The sequence below is a fragment of the Homo sapiens genome, chromosome 14 (assembly GCF_000001405.40).
Source record: "Homo sapiens chromosome 14, GRCh38.p14 Primary Assembly".
Classification (NCBI taxonomy): domain Eukaryota; kingdom Metazoa; phylum Chordata; class Mammalia; order Primates; family Hominidae; genus Homo; species Homo sapiens.
In genome coordinates, this window is record NC_000014.9 from 81081413 (window position 1) to 81098675 (window position 17263).

The following is a 17263-nucleotide window of genomic DNA, read 5'->3' on the forward strand; positions in this document are numbered from 1 at the left end:
TGGGGGAGGGGCGCAGAGCTTCCGCCCCCTCCCTTGGCACACCACCCTCCAGGAGGATGGTCAGCTGTCAGAAAGTTCATTTCCTTTTTGTATGAATGTGTTTCAAAGTTTTTTACAATAAATATGTATTACCTCTATAGTCAGATGAAATTAACTTTTTAAAGATCACTGTGCATTAAACTTGAAATTAATACTTGATGTCAAGATACATCAGTAATGTATTATGTGATAGAACCCTGTCCTAAAATGTTACCTTAAAATTAATTTACCTATTTATTAGTCTCAGGTTTCACCTAGGGATTGTATAGCACTTAAAAAATTTATAGTAACAAAATGATGGCTTGGGCAATATATACACATCTTATTTTTAAAATAAATAGTAACTATTTCCTTATACCACCCAGAGTATGCAGCAAAGTGCACCTAATAGATGTCCAGTAATTATTCACTTATATTCTAATTAATCTCTTCCCACTCTAACCACTTGAGTGAGCAAACCTAGTCAAAATCAAGGTGACTGCCTTCCATTTTTTTGAACTATAGGTGAGGTGGGAAATTAAAGAAAAATAAAATTAAAAAGAAAGAGAAATAAGCTTTCCTATATTAAGCTGACTTGTCCCAGAGGCAGCAACAGGCACAGCCCAGACCCAGGAAAAGTCTTGATAATACTATTTAATGTGCTCTGGAGACTCTCCCAGCACTCCCTCAACATAGGGAGAAGAAAAACAAATTTTCCTTTGTTTTATGGAATAAGTTTATAGATACTTGTTCTCTGTCACTAGTGACTTCAAGTATTCTGTTTTATCTAAGAAGTACAAAGAAAGTCATAAGAAGCCTGAGTAGGCCTGAACTACAGCTGCCTGGGCACCATAGTGAAGGTTATGAGATAAACCAGTGCAAGGCTCTTTAGAGCAAAACCTAGATAATGAACATCTAGGTTGCTTGGCAACGGTCATGTGCAATCCTGAGTTTGTCCTGCCTCTGTATCCCTGCTTTCACACCACTGTAAACTTGCTTCAAGCTAGCCCACCCCCTTTTGTGAAATGTGTATAAAAGTCAAGTGCTGTCTTTGTTCTAGGCCCAGTCTTTGGACATTGAGTCTGCTAAGTCCGAGTGCACTCAATAATAAAGATATCGTCCTGTATACACCCCAAGGTCTCTCTCTGGTCCTCCTGATCCCACAACACGGGCATTTAAAAGTAAACGGGAAAAAAATTGAAAATCAAATTGAAACAAGAGTTAAAAAGAAGCTGGGGACTGGTGGAGAGCTAGGCTTTTGGCTAATATTCTTGTTCAATTTATTGTTTTGGGTAACAATAAATTGGCTGTGGCAGCTTCTCTTCTGACATCATCTAACTGAGTCTTCTTGGTTTATGCTGGTCTGAAGTGTTCTCATCCCCATCTAATTTTGCAGATGAAATGCAAAGTCGGCTTTTTGATTGCCCTCAAATTGTTTCCTGGCTTGGCATGCTTCTCACTCATTAACTGGGGCAGTTTAGGGTGTGGGGAAATATCTCCAAGGGTGAGAAGCACAGTCAAATGCCACGATCCAATGCCCGTTGAATAATTGAGGTAGGAAGGGGGACACTAGGAAAATGGAAGGAAATTAGTGGTTGGAAAAAAAAAAAGTCTTCCTTAACAGAAGATTTTAAGTGTTTTCCCCTTCTTCTGTTCCTCATTCCCTCGCCTGAGAACTCCCTTCTCTCATCCTGCTGATTTCCCATATACTCTTTGAGGTGTGGACTCAGGGACTGAGTGCCTGCTGCAATGCTAGTCGTAACGGGAAAGCCAGATGTCCTGTGCTACGCTTTTATTGAGAATTAATCAATGTTTCTTAGGGGAAGAAAAAAAACCCAGAATGTAGACATGTGATTAAGTGAACCTAACTGCATGCTGAATTATTGATCTGTTGATTTGTGAAAACTGCCATTGGACAGCAATGTTACACTTTTCATCTAAATGTTTATTTCATTTGAAATCTAATGAAGGAGAATTAGACAATGAATATTTACATATATTTTTAGTTCTGCTGGATGATTTCCTTGAAACCTCATTTAAAAAAAAAAAAAAGGCTGTATTTGAAGTCATAAGTCCTAGATAAAGGCCCAGTGTTGCTGCTAAGTGTATAACAGGAGATTATTCACTTGCCCTTTCAAAACATGTCTCCATAGTTTTGTCTGCAAAATCAGGATGATCCTTACCTGCATCACACGAGTCAGTTATGTTGCTCCCTCACTAGGAGGAAATTCACACCCTCCCTCAGGTGAAAAAAAAGTACACTGTTTCTTTTTACCCTTTAATCTTCTGTATTAATTTGTATTCATGCTTCTGTGAAGAAATACCTGAGACTGGGTAATTTATAAAGGAAAGAGGTTTCATTGACTCACGGTTCTGCATGGCTGGGGAGGCCTCAGGAAACTTACAATAATGACAGAAGGGGAAGCAAACAGGTTCTTTCTCACATGGCAGCAGGAAAGAGACATGCAGAGCAAAGTGGGGTAGATCCCCTTATAAAACCAGCAGATCTCATGAGAACTCACTCACTATCACGAGAACAGCATGGGGGAAGCACCCTGTGATCTAATCACCTCCCGCGAGGTCCCTCCCCCAACACGTGGGGATTACAATTTGGATTACAATTCAAGATGAGATTTAGGTCCCTCTCCCAACACATGGAGATTACAACTGGGGTTACAATTCAAGATGAGATTTGGGTGGGGACACAGAGCCAGACCATATCATCTTCCAAAGCTGAATTTTTCTAATCAATACGCTTTAAGAGCCTTGCATATTTCCCCAACAAAGAAAAAGAGCCTCGCTCCATAAAACAGCATACTTAAGCAGCATATCTGGCACATATTTTAATGTTATTTTTTATAGAGAATATATAAAGCTTTACTTTTTTGTTTTTAAAGTTTGAGATTTTTTGCATCCTCTTTATTACTTTTTTTTATTTAGATAAAATAAAAAGTGAAAATTCCACATTCCTTCTTTTTAAACCTATCTGCTAGATGTGACCACTATGAACAGAGTACTCTATATTTTTGGAATTTTATTTATGCTTATTAGTTTGGGTAGGTGAATTACTATAAGAAATAGACAAAAATACAGACATGTAACAGCCCTTAGTGAGTGAGGTTTACTGCTTGCTCATGGGAGAGTACTGGATGGATGAGTGGGAGCACAGAGCAGCCACCTTCAGGCAGTCACTCAGGGCCTCAGGTTGCTGGAGGCACAGCCATCTTCAGCTCTGGAGGGCATCTCCATTCCTAGTGTGCTGTATTACAAACAGCTTTTCTTTCTTCCAATGTCTCCAGCTTTCTGGCAGCATAGCTAGCCTCCTGCACACTCAGGCCATAATTGCTTAACTCAAAATGGTGTGATTCAAATTCACCCTCAGAGGCATGCTTGAAGGCATTCAAATTTGAACGCCTCTTTCACCCTTCTCTGATTAGATGTTCTTTTGTACTCACTTCTGCCCTTCCTTTCTTCCTATCTTTGAATAGGTTTTACTAGTTGCATTTGCTTCTTATGTTACCTCTCTATTTAATGATTGATTGATTGATTGAGACAGAGTCTTGCTTTTTCGCCCAGGATGGAGTGCAGTGGCACAATCTCAGCTCACTGCAACCTCTGCCTCCTGCGTTCAAGCGATTCTCATGTCTTGGCCTCCCAAATAGCTGGAATTACAGACATAAGCCACCACACCCGGCTAATTTTTGCATTTTTAGTAAAAACAGGGTTTCACCACGTTGCCCAGGCTGGTCTTGAACTCCTGACCTCAACTGATCCACCTGCCTCGGCCTCCCACCTGTCTCGGCCTCCCAAAGTGCTTACAGGCATGCGCCACCACACCCAGCTGTTATCTCTCACCATTTAGCTAAACTACTGGCAGTCTACGACCACTCCACCCCTTCTCTGCTTCAGGAGATACTTTTCAAAAGTCACTTGTGAGCAAGTGGTAAGCTGTTGCCTTACCTCAGAAAGCAGCTTCTTTTCCCTGCTGTTTTCTTGTGGGGTCTCTCATTCATCTTTCTCCTTTGTAGCTCTTACATTTCCTTCTAGAAATCTTCTCCTCCTTCATGTTTCCTTCTCTCTCCTTGCTGCCTCTCCCACATTTCTCCTCTTCCAGCCTCCATGTAAGTTGCCAGCCTCATTTAATCAACTGTTACTAGCAGCTGCATTTCATTTCCCTTTTATTCTCTACCTTTTCAGCTGACCCAGGTGGGCTGCATTTTCTTTCACTCTGACGTTCTCTTAGACCACTCACTCAGGACTACTCGTTCAACGACAGTCTCTTGTGGAGCAATTTTCCAGACTGCAAACCCTGCTCAATTTCCAAACTCCTGCATCTAGTTTACATCTGTTTGTCTCTGGCAGTAGTTCAAACCCTCCTCCCCCAATGGAAAGCTCTGGCAAGGAGTTTATTGCTCACCCTGGAAAGAGAGAACCACCTCAACAGAGATTGATAGTCTCTAGAGGGGCAAGGTGGGAAAATTATGAGATTTTGGAGTAGGGTGGCCAACTGTCACACTTTGCCCAAGACAGAGGGAATTCCAAGGATATGGGCTTTGCATTTTAAAGCCAGGACAAAAAAATGAAAGATTGTATAAAGAGGATCTTTCCATGCAGGGTCTTGTTTAGGTAAAAATCATGACATAATAGTTTAGGATTAGCATAGTGAGGATTTGGAAGTGAGGAGTTCTAAGATCTTGGGGTATAAACTGTTGATGCTTTCTGTTGAAGCATTGATGGTTCTTTGTTTCAAAAACTCTCTGTAATGAACAATAAAGCAATTTGCCTGGGCAAGAGTCTCCTGGAATTGTAGTTATGTTAATGAGGACAATGGACCAGTAAGGGTATATTATTATAGACAGTAAGCTGTGTGTTTAGGGAGGAGAGAGGTAGGTGATTTCTGTTCTCAGAGTTAACTCCATCCTCTCTTTTCCAAGGTCTGTTTCATATTCAGTGTCCTTAGTTGAAATGCCTAGTTGAAAAAACCAGAGAGTTTTTTCTAATTTTGCAAGAATGTCACAACATCTCCAGTCCCAAGTCCCTGATGTCTCTTCTAGCTTTCATTGCACTTATGAAAATAACAATAATAAAAGCATTATTTTAGAGCCCTAACTATGTGGAGGCCAAACATAAAATCCCTCATGAATATTATTTAATCCTCACAAAAGCCCCACAAAAGAGGTGTTGTTAATTGTTCCTATTTTACAGACAGGAAAACTATGGCTCAAAGAGGCCAAGAAACTTGTCCAAGGTCATATAATCAGAAGTGGCAGAGCCAAGACTCTATTTCGAGTCCATCTGGGCTATTCAGAAATAAAAAGGAGTGAACTACTAATTCATGTTACAACATGGATGAACCTCACAGACATTATGCTAAATGAAAGAAGGCAGACACAAAAGACTGCCTGTTATATGATTCCATTTATATGAAATGTCCAGATAAGGCAAATTTATAAAGAAAGAAAACTGATCAGTGGTTTCTAGGCATAAAGGAGCAAGTGGAGACTAACTGCAGATGGGCCTATGGTTACTTTTGTCATTGACAGAAATGTTCTAACCTGTGATGATGGTTTCAAAATCATGTAATGTTACTAAAAATCATTGAACTGTATGCCTACATACAATGTTTGAAGTTTATGGAATGTAAATTCTTTTTCAATAAAACTTTAAAAATTACAGAGGTCACATTCTAAGCTTTCTGACTGGTACCACCAATGACTAGATGCTGGTTCTTTTAGGTGCCACTCCTAAGGAGAAATGCTAAAGGTTTACTGGGTTCTTATATACTTTTCATGTAAGCATAGGGAATGCCTTAAACTCTTTTAGCCAATCAACCTATGTTGAATATGTTTAATTTAACCAGTGAGAGTTCATTTCTAGCAGTTACTTATTTCTCTAATGCTAACTGTGCATTCTTGATCAGCATTTATATAAACCTAAGTATGTAAGTTACTGACACACGATATTGCACTATACATGCAGAAGTGTCTTCGATTGCTGACATGACAAAATAAACCCAAGTGAACTGTGAAGACTTACCACTTCTGTACATCTGGTATGGCAATGACAGAGCCTTACTGTCCATCTTGCTGTGCTGTCGTTCATCATAAAATTCCCTCATCCTCCCACTCCAACACTCATTGTCTTGGCCAGAATACTTATAAATAATAAAGATATTTGTCTTCAACTCCTCACCAAATCATTGGAGGGATTTTTCTTTTTTCTCTAAATGTAAAAGAAAAAAAATTCTGATACTACAATTAAGAACAATGTAGCCCATAAATTAAAGTGGACAGAAACCAAGCCAACAATGCAAAAGAGCTGAGCAGCCATTGGGTCCCCGTGAGGAGACAGGAGTAGTTTGTCATTGATGGGACCCCTGGCAGCTACAGCCCCTGGGGTACCCTGTGGCGTAAATGCATATTTTTCTCATGAACGTTTGTTAAAACTGATTTATGTTGTTTTGTCTTTGATAAGAACAGATACGGATGCATTATAGTGACTGTGTTCCTTGTAACTTATACAGAGAAATTCGGAATACCAGGAACTTAACTTACATAGACCCTGATGCCCTCAAAGAGCTCCCCCTCCTAAAGTTCCTGTAAGTATTAAATCCTCTCCCATCCTACTTTTCTGGGGGGAGGGGGTCAGATTTAATGCTGTTGTCTCCCAGGAATCTCCCTAGATGATGTGGTCCAGGTTCATTTTAATGGTGTATAGCCTGGGTCGGGGGCAAGGTATCGGGTGAAATGATCCACATTTTTAAAACCTATTCAAAAGTCAGCACATAATGCTGGAACCAGAGACCTGCTCCAAGAAACAGGAGGGAGAAAATGCTATCATGTATATGTGGTCCTTAAATGTAGTATTTCAGAACAAAACAAAACAAAATTCTGAGAGCCAGTTGGTCAATTTTGTTTGAAAATGGGTATCACAACAATATTATTAGAGTGGCTGTTACACAGGAAAAAAAACCCACAAAGAGTAAAATACACTTCCATGGGGAGTGGAGGGAAAACAGAAGGGACAACAGTTTCAACCTCCCACTCCAGCACTCAAATGTCCAGCACTCACTGCTTTGCTTTGAAAACACCTTATGAGCTAACCATAAGCTCCATGAATCCAGGGACCACAACATTTTTTTTCTCTGTTGAATCTTTACTGCCTAGTACAGAGTAGGCGCTCAGTACAAATGTGTTCAGTGGATGTGTCTGTATGACCTCAGGCCCCCTGGATACCAGGTGGAAGAGTCCTTTTTCCTACTTGCATGCATTATAAAGATTAGAAAACAAAGAGTATGAAGAAGAAAATTGTTAAAAAAAACTTAATCCCAAACCCCAAAATAAGCACTATTAACATTTCAGTTCATCTTCATCCAGACCTTCAAAACAAACTTATGTTATCATAGATATTTTATGAGATAAGCCCTTAAGGATGAATAGAGGGTATCTTGAACAAGAATGGGGAGATAGAAAAGAAATTTAGCTGGATGGAATAGCATGATAAAGACACAAATGTAGGGAACCACGCAGCTTCTTTGGGGAACTAAAAATAGTTGCTTTTTTTTTTTTTTTTTTGAGATAGAGTCTTGCTCTGTTGCCCCAGGCTGGAGTGCAGTGGTGTGATCTTGGCTCACTGCAACCGCCACTTCCTGCATTCAAGCGATTCTCCTGCCTCAGCCTCCCGAGTAGCTGGGATTACAGGTGTGCACCACCATGCCCAGCTAATTTTTGTATTTTTAGTAGAGATGGGGTTTCACCATGTTGGCCAGGCTGGTGTCGAACTCCTGACCTCAGGTGATCCACCCGCCTCAGCCTCCCAAAGTGCTGGGACTACAGGCATGAGCCACTGTGCCTGGCCAATAGTTGTATATTGAAGAGGTGGGTGTGAGAGATGCCAGGGGAATGGAAGACACTGATGGGATATGAAGATGAAAGGATGTCTGGAAAGCCATGAAAGCTTATGGGACAAGACAATCACTCTTCTTATGGACTCTGAGTTTCAAATAATACAATAACCCTTTGATGTGATGATCCCCCACTATATGCTCTGTGGGGAACATACAGGTTTCTAAGACATTGTCCTTGCCTGTAATCTAGTTGAGGAGATGTGTATGAAATTGAAAAGTGCCTCTCCTACAGAAGAATAATGGAAAGTGACGAAGGAGAGACATATACAGTGTTTGGGGGTTCAGGTAATTAGAGAAGACATCAGAAAGAAGACCCACAGCATGGTTTTAAGGGACTTGTTTGAGATTTTTGAAGAATAGAAAGATCTTGATCCAAGTATATGGACCCCACTTGACTCTTGGACCTTTTTCCCTCCTACTGTTCTTCATGAGCACCTATTGCAATTGAACTAGTTCGTTTACTGTATTTCAAATATACCTTATGGAATCTCACCTCTCTCCTTTGTTATCTGGAATGTCCCTCCCATTTGCTGATTTTGAGACCTCTGGCTCCTGCTGCCTCTTCAAATCCTATGCCTTCTTCTCTAGAAGGAGTCAAGTCTGAATTTGCCTCAGAAGGAGTATCAATGGATATAGTTTTTCTACCAGAAGACCTTCTCTAGAGCTTTACTGAGTAGTGTCTAGATCTCACTCTATGCTATGCCAAATTCTCAAAAAAAAAAAAATTCTAATTACATTCAAGTAGCTGCAACAAATGTTAAAACAACTAAATCTGGGAGGCATCAGGAGCCTGAGAATTCTTGTATTCATGGTGTTTTATGCATGTCTTTTAATCTTAACATTTTTCTGTAGATGATATAAACTACAGAAGGTAAAGACTTTGTCTTTGATTGGTTTCCTTCCTTTTCTGGACACTGTCTTTTTTTGAGACAGAGTCGCCCTCTGTCACCCAGGCTGGAGTGCAGTGGCATGATCTCGGCTCACTGCAACCTCCACCTCCCAGGTTCAAGTGATTCTCATGCCTCAGCCTCCCAAGTAGCTGGGATTACAGGCGCATGCCAACACATGCAGCTAATTTTTGTATTTTTAGTAGAGACAGGGTTTCGCCATGTTAGGCTAGTCTTGAATTCCTGGACTCAAGTGATCCACCTGCCTTGGCCTCCCAAAGTGTTAGGATTATAGGCGTGAGCCCCTGTGCCCGGCTCTCTGGACATATTTTTTTAAATGGTACTGTTATAATGGTACTCTCAGGTCACTGCTGTAGGAAAGATATTCTTGGCAAAATAACAGCATAATATCATGTAGAGCTTGAAAGAGGAAGCTGGCTTAAAGTCATCATATCTTCCTGTCCCATCTTCTTCTTAGCCCTTCACTAACAAACACATAATTTTTTCCAATTAAACGAGAAAATCACACACACACACACACGAAAACTGAATTTATATTTCTAGTAAACCCACTTGGTTAAAACAATCTCCAGAGCATTCTAAGCCGAGCAGATGTATTGACACCAGTGGACTGGATTAAATTATTATGCCTTGAGGGAATATCATCTCATCCAACCATCAGAACTTGCCCATAGTTACTCAGATATTTAGGGAAGGTGTTGGGAGTTTGACTACAGGTTGTCTTCAGAACCCATGCTTTCAGCTATTACATTATTCTCCTTCCTATGTGTTGATTTTTTTACCTAAATTCTATGCTTTTTTTTCTCTTTTTTTCATTAATTTAGTGGCATTTTCAACACTGGACTTAAAATGTTCCCTGACCTGACCAAAGTTTATTCCACTGATATATTCTTTATACTGTAAGTATGCACACATGCCATGTTTGACAATATTTTGTTTGTCACTGACAAGAACTAGAATACAGTCATGAGGGTAGGTTGAAGATAAGTAAAGCAATTGTTTCAAGGAGTAAGCAATGATCAGGTGTGACTACACTGGCATGAAGTAAGGCAAGGACTGAGAAATAACCACTGGCTTTAGCAATGTGGTTTGTTGGTGACTCTGCCAAGAACAGTTCCAGTGGAGTGCTGGTTGGAGTGGGCTCAAGAGAGACTTGGGTAGACAGAATTAGAAAGAGTTACCATAATTAACTCTTTTGAGAGGTTTTACTATTAAAAGGAGCAGAAAATAGCTCAGTAATTGCAAGATATTGAGTCAGGAGAAAAGATTTTGTTTGTGTGTTTTTGTTTTTAAATGGAAGAAATTATGCAATGTTTCTTTGCCAATGGGAATGGTTGAATAGAAGGAATATTTGATGATAACTATGATACCTTATTTTTCATAGAGTTTTAATAGTTTTTTAAACACTTTCCCACACATGACATTTGCTCCTCTCAGCCACCTTATAAGGTGTAAAACAAAGTTACTGCTTTTCCATTTATGAATGAGGAAACTGAGGAATAGAAACCTCAAGTGATTTTGTCTGAGCAGTGTCTCAAGGAACAGTCAGAAGTGGTACTCAAATTACTGCCTGTGACCTTTGATTGGCACCCATGTGCCCTTTTTCAAAGCTGGTGACATGGGTCAGTTGTCTTACTAATTGTATAGGAATGAAAGGACGTAAGGCAGAGAGAATTACAAGTTGAGTTTGCATTAAAGAGTCAGCAAAATGTAGAATGATAAGCTTCAAACTCTTGGGGTTTTGCTAGAAAAAAAAATTGATCATACTTCTTTGTTGCAAAAGAGCTCAGTTCAAAATGTAAGCAATCTTCCAGAAACTAGAATGGCGTAGAAAGGTTCTCCAGGAGCCTGGCGAAGTTTGGCAAGTGAAGGACATTTTAGAAATACTCATTAAATGAAATCCTTTAATCCTTTTATCCTGACCTTCTTAAAGGTCCATGCATGTAGAAAACTCTAGTTGTTGTGGACAAAGTGTTGCAGATTCGGGAGAAGCCTCTCAAATCCATCTGCCTACCCCAAGATGAGGATTAAGTCAGGGACCTCCACCCACACCTAAAGCTCTCACTTACCCCACATTTGGGCTCCAGGTGCATGTCATCTAGGACAGCTCTCACCACCTCACCAGACCTCTGAGCCACTAGCGGTTAAGAAGGGTCAGTGAAACTTAAAAAGAAATAAGATTAAGCTATATTGTGTCCTGTTATTTAAGTGCATATGCGCAGCAAGACCCCTGCTGCAGAAGGAAAGCATTTTTTCATTAAGTGTTTTTGTCCCTCTCTCTTGCAGTGAAATTACAGACAACCCTTACATGACGTCAATCCCTGTGAATGCTTTTCAGGGACTATGCAATGAAACCTTGACACTGTGAGTATTACCAGTTCTACTCCCTCCATCAACTAAATTCTATTTTGAGCCATTTTCATATGTTTACAGACCATCCAAGAGCCATACTGCCTTATCATATATACTCTATAGAGTACAAAGTGTTTTACACAATTAAATAATAGTATTGTCTTATGGGATGGTACTCTGTAGACTACAAAACAGTTTAGGTAACAAGACAAGAGGATTCCATTACGGCAGTGGTTGGTACATTTTTCACGTGAAGAACCAGTTAGGCATTACAGACCATGCAACCTCTGTAGGAACTGGTCAACTCTGGCATTGTGTGGCAAAAACCGCAGTACTCAATATATACACTAATGAGCATGTCTGTGTTCCAATAAAACTTTATTTATAGAAAGAGGCAGTGGACTAGATTTGGCCTGCAGGCCTTATGGAATAATCATCTGTATCCAAGTGTCCCCATTCTACAGAAGAAGAACTGGGGTTTAAGCAAATTGAAGTGACTTACCCAAGATCACTGAGTTAAAAAAAAGTGGTGCCACTAAGAACTTTATAAATTCTGCACTCACACTTTTACTCAGTAATCACAAACTGTTATTAAGCTCCTGTAAGGGGATATTACATAGAAAGCATAGTGCTGCTATAGGTCAGCATTTTTCCAGAGCCTGAATGGGGGCAAAGCCCTTTAGATGGTCAAAAGTAGATGCTTAATTAGGGATATTCACAAAATGTTCTAAAGGAGAAGATCTAATAGAGGTATAAAGGATAAGTTAATTCTCCAAGCTGGTAGAAAGTTCCTCTCTCATTGTGTAAGTCACAAAGTAGAGTTGGAGCTACCTCTGCAGGGTCTCCTCTCTATTTTCAGGACCACTGCCCAAGTTCAAGCCTGGTGAAGTTTTTGTCTGGATTGTCACCCCAGTTTCATTTCTCTGCTCACACTAAAGTTGGGGTGGAGGTCTTTATCAGATACAAACCTGATCAAATTACTCACCAGAAAAATGGATCCAAGCTTCATACAGTTCTTCTAAGGGGCTATTTTCTGAGCCATTCCTAGTTTATCAGTTTGGGCCCAATGAAGTTACCTCAACTTCTGAGAGCAATGGAGCATTTCAGATGATCCTTCTCATCACAACCTGGTGAGCGGTCCCTTGAAAAGACAAAGGAGGCTCCTTCTCAGTCATAATTTCTTCTTACCATGCAGAAAAGGCCCAGGCTCTTAGCCTGCTCAGCTCCAAACTTCAAAGCCATTTACTTCCTCAGTAAAGCTTTCCATTGCGCCATATAGTGCTCATCATAAGGAAACTCCTACATGCTAAACTTCTTTATAGAATATTACCTCTACCCCTTGACACCATTTCTCTAAAACCCCCATATCTCAAGCACCCCCCTCAAGTGAAAGCTCATTGTCCCACACCTAGCATAGAGCCCAGCATGTGTTTCTAGAAACATCTGAGTGAGGGAAGCCCATATTTCCTAAAATATAGAGGAGAGGATGGCATGGATTATTCATGATCTTTTCAGATGATTATTTCTACATTTTGGCAAAAGTCCTTGCTTCTTCGAAGCTCAGGCTCAAAAAACTATCAACTTGAAAAGACACATGTTCCAACAACCGACTTTGTACCTGTATTCCTGGTAGGAGAAAGTTTCAGTCAAAGTTTGTAATTCTTTTGTCTTGCTTCACCATGTTCCCTTTTCAAGGCCGATTTGTTCATTAAGAATTCTGTTTAATATCTGAAATGCAATTCAAACAAGTATTTTTAATGTCCAGGACTCTCAACAAATTTAGGAAAATTAAAATGCCATATGCACAGTTCTCACATCTTCATAAAAGAGTTCTAGTTTAGAAAAAATTTACTTATCCACAGAGTTTTCTCAGCCATTGTGCTTATATTCCTGGGATATTGCAATCCTCACCCAGGACATGTTAGTAGCTGGAATTAAACTCGCTATGTAATTATTTAAGATGAAACAAAAACAAACACATCAACAATGACAACAAAGCCACGAGAATCTTGCTCAGTTTCCCACAACTATATAGGATAAATCCAAGTTTTAGAATTCTCCTTTTATTTATTTATTTTTTTAATTTTTTTTTTTTTTTTTTTTTTTTGAGACAGAGTCTCACTCTGTCACCCAGAGCTGGAGTGCAATGGTGCGATCTCGGCTTACTGCAACCTCCGCCTCCCAGGTTCAAGCAATTCTCCTGCCTCAGCCTCCCGAATAGCTCCTTTTAACATGGTCACCTAATAAGTGTTCCTCACTTTGTTAAATATATAGTTATTTGATCCTCTCTGCAACCTTTTGATTGGGCATTACATTTATGTACTAATTTATCACATTTTTAGAGATAAACTGAGGATAAGACAGGTTGAGAAATTCTCAGGATCATCCAGCTATTAAGTGGCAGAGCCAGGTCTAATTCCAAATTTGAACTTTCCTGTGTGCTTCTTATTGTGTTCCCAAGGTTCACATGTGGTAGATTACTGTGGTTTTCAAGGTTCCCTTACAACTGCCACTAGGAGTTCTCACTAGCAGTGCCTGAGTGTGGTTATAGCTGTCTTCTCTTATCTTCATGCCAATAACCACCAATAACCTCTTGCATTCCCATATAGCCCAGAGGTCCCAAGGCTGGGGCTCCTTCTCCTGCAGAAAGGGGGGCTGCTTTTGGTAGGTGGAAATAATTATATTTGAGGTTGGCCAGGCACAGTGGCTCACGTCTGTAATCCCAGCACTTTGGGAGACCGAGGCAGGCAGATCACCTGAAGTCAAGAGTTTGAGACCAGCCTGGCCAACATGGTGAAACCCCCATCTCTACTGAAAAATACAAAAATTAGCCAGACCTGGTGGCAGGCGCCTGTAATCCCAGCTACTCAGGAGGCTGAGGCAGGAGAATTGCTTGAACCCGGGAGCAGAGGTTGCAGTAAGCAGAGATCACGCCACTGCACTTCAGCCTGGGCAACAGTGCCAGACTCCCTGTCAAAAAAAAAAATCATATTTGAAGTCAGGGATCCTAAGTCTCAACAGTCCTAGACCAATGTGTTTTTGGCAAGTCACCCTCATGTCTCAGTAACTTCAATAGGAAATAGAAGTAATAACATTTCAGACTGGCTCCCTGAATCATTAAATGAATTAATTAGTCATAGAAACACAGCAACAAGTTAAAACATTAACATTTCCAGCCCAGTGGTTCACACCTGTAATCCCCAGTGTTTCGGGAGGCTGAGGCAGGCGGATCACTTGAGCCCAGACTAGCCTGGGCAACATGGTGAAACCTCATCTCTACAACAAATACAAAAATTAGCCAGGCATGGTGGCACATGCCTATAGTCCCAACTGTTTGAGAGGCTGAGGTGGGAGGATCGCTTAAGCCCAGGGACTCAAGGCTGCAGTGAGCCGTGATTGAGCCAGTGTACTCCAGCCTGGGTGACAGAGTGAGAGACCCTGTCTCAAAAAAAAAAAAAAAAAAATCCATAAGAGGACATGGTCTATCTACTTTCTTAGATTCATCTATGAGGTTTAATTTAATTCAGCCCATAACCCTTAAACATTTAATCTGTGATAAGCTCTGAGGATAAAAAGATGGATAAAATACAAAGGTGAAATAACATTTAAATATTAATAGAAAAATAAAAACATACGCATTCAGATGAATGTCTTTCAAAATGTTTATCTTAAGAGACTGCAGCTGCTCCTCCACTATTGACATTGGGTTAACTATTACCTCAAATCCCTTTTTCTGAATGTATGTGGAATATTCTTTTAAAATCTTCAATGGTAACAAGTTTGTTACTCAAAGTAAATATGATTCTGAGAAACACCTTAAATTTACTAGGAGCTAAGTCAGGAGAATGGGCATTCAAACTGAGAAATATTATCTTGTTTCCAACAACTTGTACTGGAAAGTTTTCTTGTGGGATACATATGTGGGACCTGAAAAACCTTTATGTACATTTATGACACTGAAGAAATATAGTCCAACTCTCCAGAAACAGGCCAGCACCACTTCTCACCAGTCACTGATTTCTCTTCTCTCTGTTGGTTGTAGGAAGCTGTACAACAATGGCTTTACTTCAGTCCAAGGATATGCTTTCAATGGGACAAAGCTGGATGCTGTGTAAGTCAAGGGTAGCCATGAAAACTGTCACTTTCCCTTACCCTAAGAACCATCCAATGGGGCAGAATGCTGTTGAGAGATAGGTTCTACCAGAGCATCTTCCACGCCAGAGTTAGTGTGACCAACATGGAAATGAGGTCAAGGAACTTGGCAGGGGCCCACTTTAGTGGGCGCTTACGTTAGCTCCAATGGTAAGTTCCAAAGCTTTTCTCCCTGGTGTGTGTGTGTGTGTGTGTGTGTGTGTGTAAATGTTCATCTATTATGTACATGAAGTAAAAGGATATCTTTAATGAAGCCCAAAGCTGTTCAGAAAATAAGGTGGTTTCTCTTTTAGTCCTTTCTGACATGTTTTTGGGAAAGATGTCAGTTTATATTTGATTCACTCAGAAATAGCTAAAAAATCATATCCAACTTTTGCCTTTTCAAAAAATAAATAGTGCTGGGAACAGCTGAAACAGCAAACAATAGACTTTGTGTTTGATGTGTTTTATAACACTTTTTGAGTATTTCTTTACAAATGATATATTTTTTCTATTTCACCTTTTTCTATTTGTTGTTTTTTTCAAATTTACCTGCTCATTTTTGCTAGTGTCTTGTTATGTATTCATTTTTGTAATTATATTATTTGTTTCACTTTAAACATTTCATACATAGTAATTTTATGTTCCAGAAATGATCCCTGCAAAATCTGAAGGCCTTATGACACAAAATCTGTTGCGTATGGGGCTTCTCAAACCTTCCTGGGCATCAGACCCTCTGAGAGGTCTTATCAAAATACACAGTCTGATTCTGTAGCTCTGGATTTGGCCTCGGGATTCCATATTTCTAACAAACTCCCAGGTGATGCCGACACTGCTGTTCATAGACCACACTTTAAGTAGCAAGGGTGAGGTCAATAAGCTGTCTAACCCTATGCAGTGGCTCTGGATGGAGAAGAACACTCATGTAGATTATGTGATTTTGGTTGATGTTCTGGTTTAGGGGTTAGGTGGTAGGTTCTGGAACAATTCCATTTTTAAATGGTAAATGGTAAAAAGGTGTTTGAACTCATTACACTGAGGCAAGGCTCCCTGAGTTCTGTTTGAAGTGAAGTCTCACTCTTTGCTGGCTTTTGTGCTTCATACCAGTCTTTATGAAATGAAGAGTTACAGTACCATTCTCTCGATTGTCTGGTTGTGGAGTCATAATGGTTCATTTCCATTATTTTTTTACTACATAATTATAGGCAAAGTCTAAAAAGACTCTATCGAGTAAGGTGATACTTACCCCCTCAAATTTATTTACAGAATTGGAGAGACCCTCCTTCCATCTTAACTTTATGATACTAACTTCTTACAATCTTTCATCTACTTTTCAACATATTTATTAGACACTTGCAATGTACCAGGCCCTGTGCCATTCACTGGGAAAACACAGATGAACAGGAGCCATGTGCTCCCTGCCCACACTGAGCGTACATTCTGGTGGGGGTCAGCTCAAGGGCAGCAACATCAAAGGGCAAAGTACATTAGGGAGAAGTGTACCCAATCCAAAATATGCATCTCAGATAGAAAATAACTGAAGCCTAAATATCGAATAACATTGCTTTCCTTCTTTGGAGATACAAGCTAGATTTTTTCTAGGTTTATCCCATTGTTTTTTAAATCATTATTAAAATTAATGTTTTAGAAATGAATTATCCTATATTCCAGGTTTCAAGTTCTTTTTCTAATCTAGCATTCTGGAAAGGTGGCATTTGATTTTAATATTGTATGAATTTCACCAAATATTTTCCTCTTTGATTCAACTATTCCTAGAAAGCTATGACTCTTAGGGTAATGATCTTCAAATTCAAATTTTCTATGAATGGAGTATGGAGAGTTCTTAAAATAATGAAGATAGTTTGTAGGTACTTAGGGTATAAAGATTTCAGATGACTATCACACAGTTCTAGACATAGAGTGCACCAAAAGTTTAGTTAGCATAAAG

The 17263-nt window shown here is 39.8% G+C and overlaps 1 protein-coding gene and 1 long non-coding RNA gene across 12 annotated transcripts in view; one reads left to right on the forward strand and one right to left on the reverse strand.

Moving 5' to 3' along the window:
* Positions 1–17263, forward strand: part of TSHR (thyroid stimulating hormone receptor) — a 190686-nt gene that overhangs the window by 125792 nt on the left and 47631 nt on the right. For 3 of the 4 annotated variants that reach the window (NM_000369.5, NM_001142626.3, NM_001018036.3), the window contains exons 4-7: positions 6542–6616; positions 9657–9731; positions 11119–11196; positions 15227–15295. In NM_000369.5, coding sequence (NP_000360.2) covers positions 6542–6616; positions 9657–9731; positions 11119–11196; positions 15227–15295 — 297 coding nt within the window. Of the gene's footprint in view, positions 1–6492; positions 6617–9656; positions 9732–11118; positions 11197–15226; positions 15296–17263 lie in introns of all 4 variants that reach the window. The other variant, XM_011537119.3, reaches the window with a different exon arrangement.
* Positions 1–17263, reverse strand: part of TSHR-AS1 (TSHR antisense RNA 1) — a 156341-nt gene that overhangs the window by 67347 nt on the left and 71731 nt on the right. For 5 of the 8 annotated variants that reach the window (XR_007064288.1, XR_007064287.1, XR_007064286.1 and 2 more), the window contains 2 exons: positions 12803–12912; positions 1672–12325 (listed from right to left, as the gene is read on the reverse strand). This is a non-coding gene — a long non-coding RNA (TSHR antisense RNA 1). Of the gene's footprint in view, positions 1–1671; positions 12326–12802; positions 12913–17263 lie in introns of those variants that run through there. The other 3 variants (XR_001751018.3, XR_007064290.1, XR_001751022.2) reach the window with 3 other exon arrangements.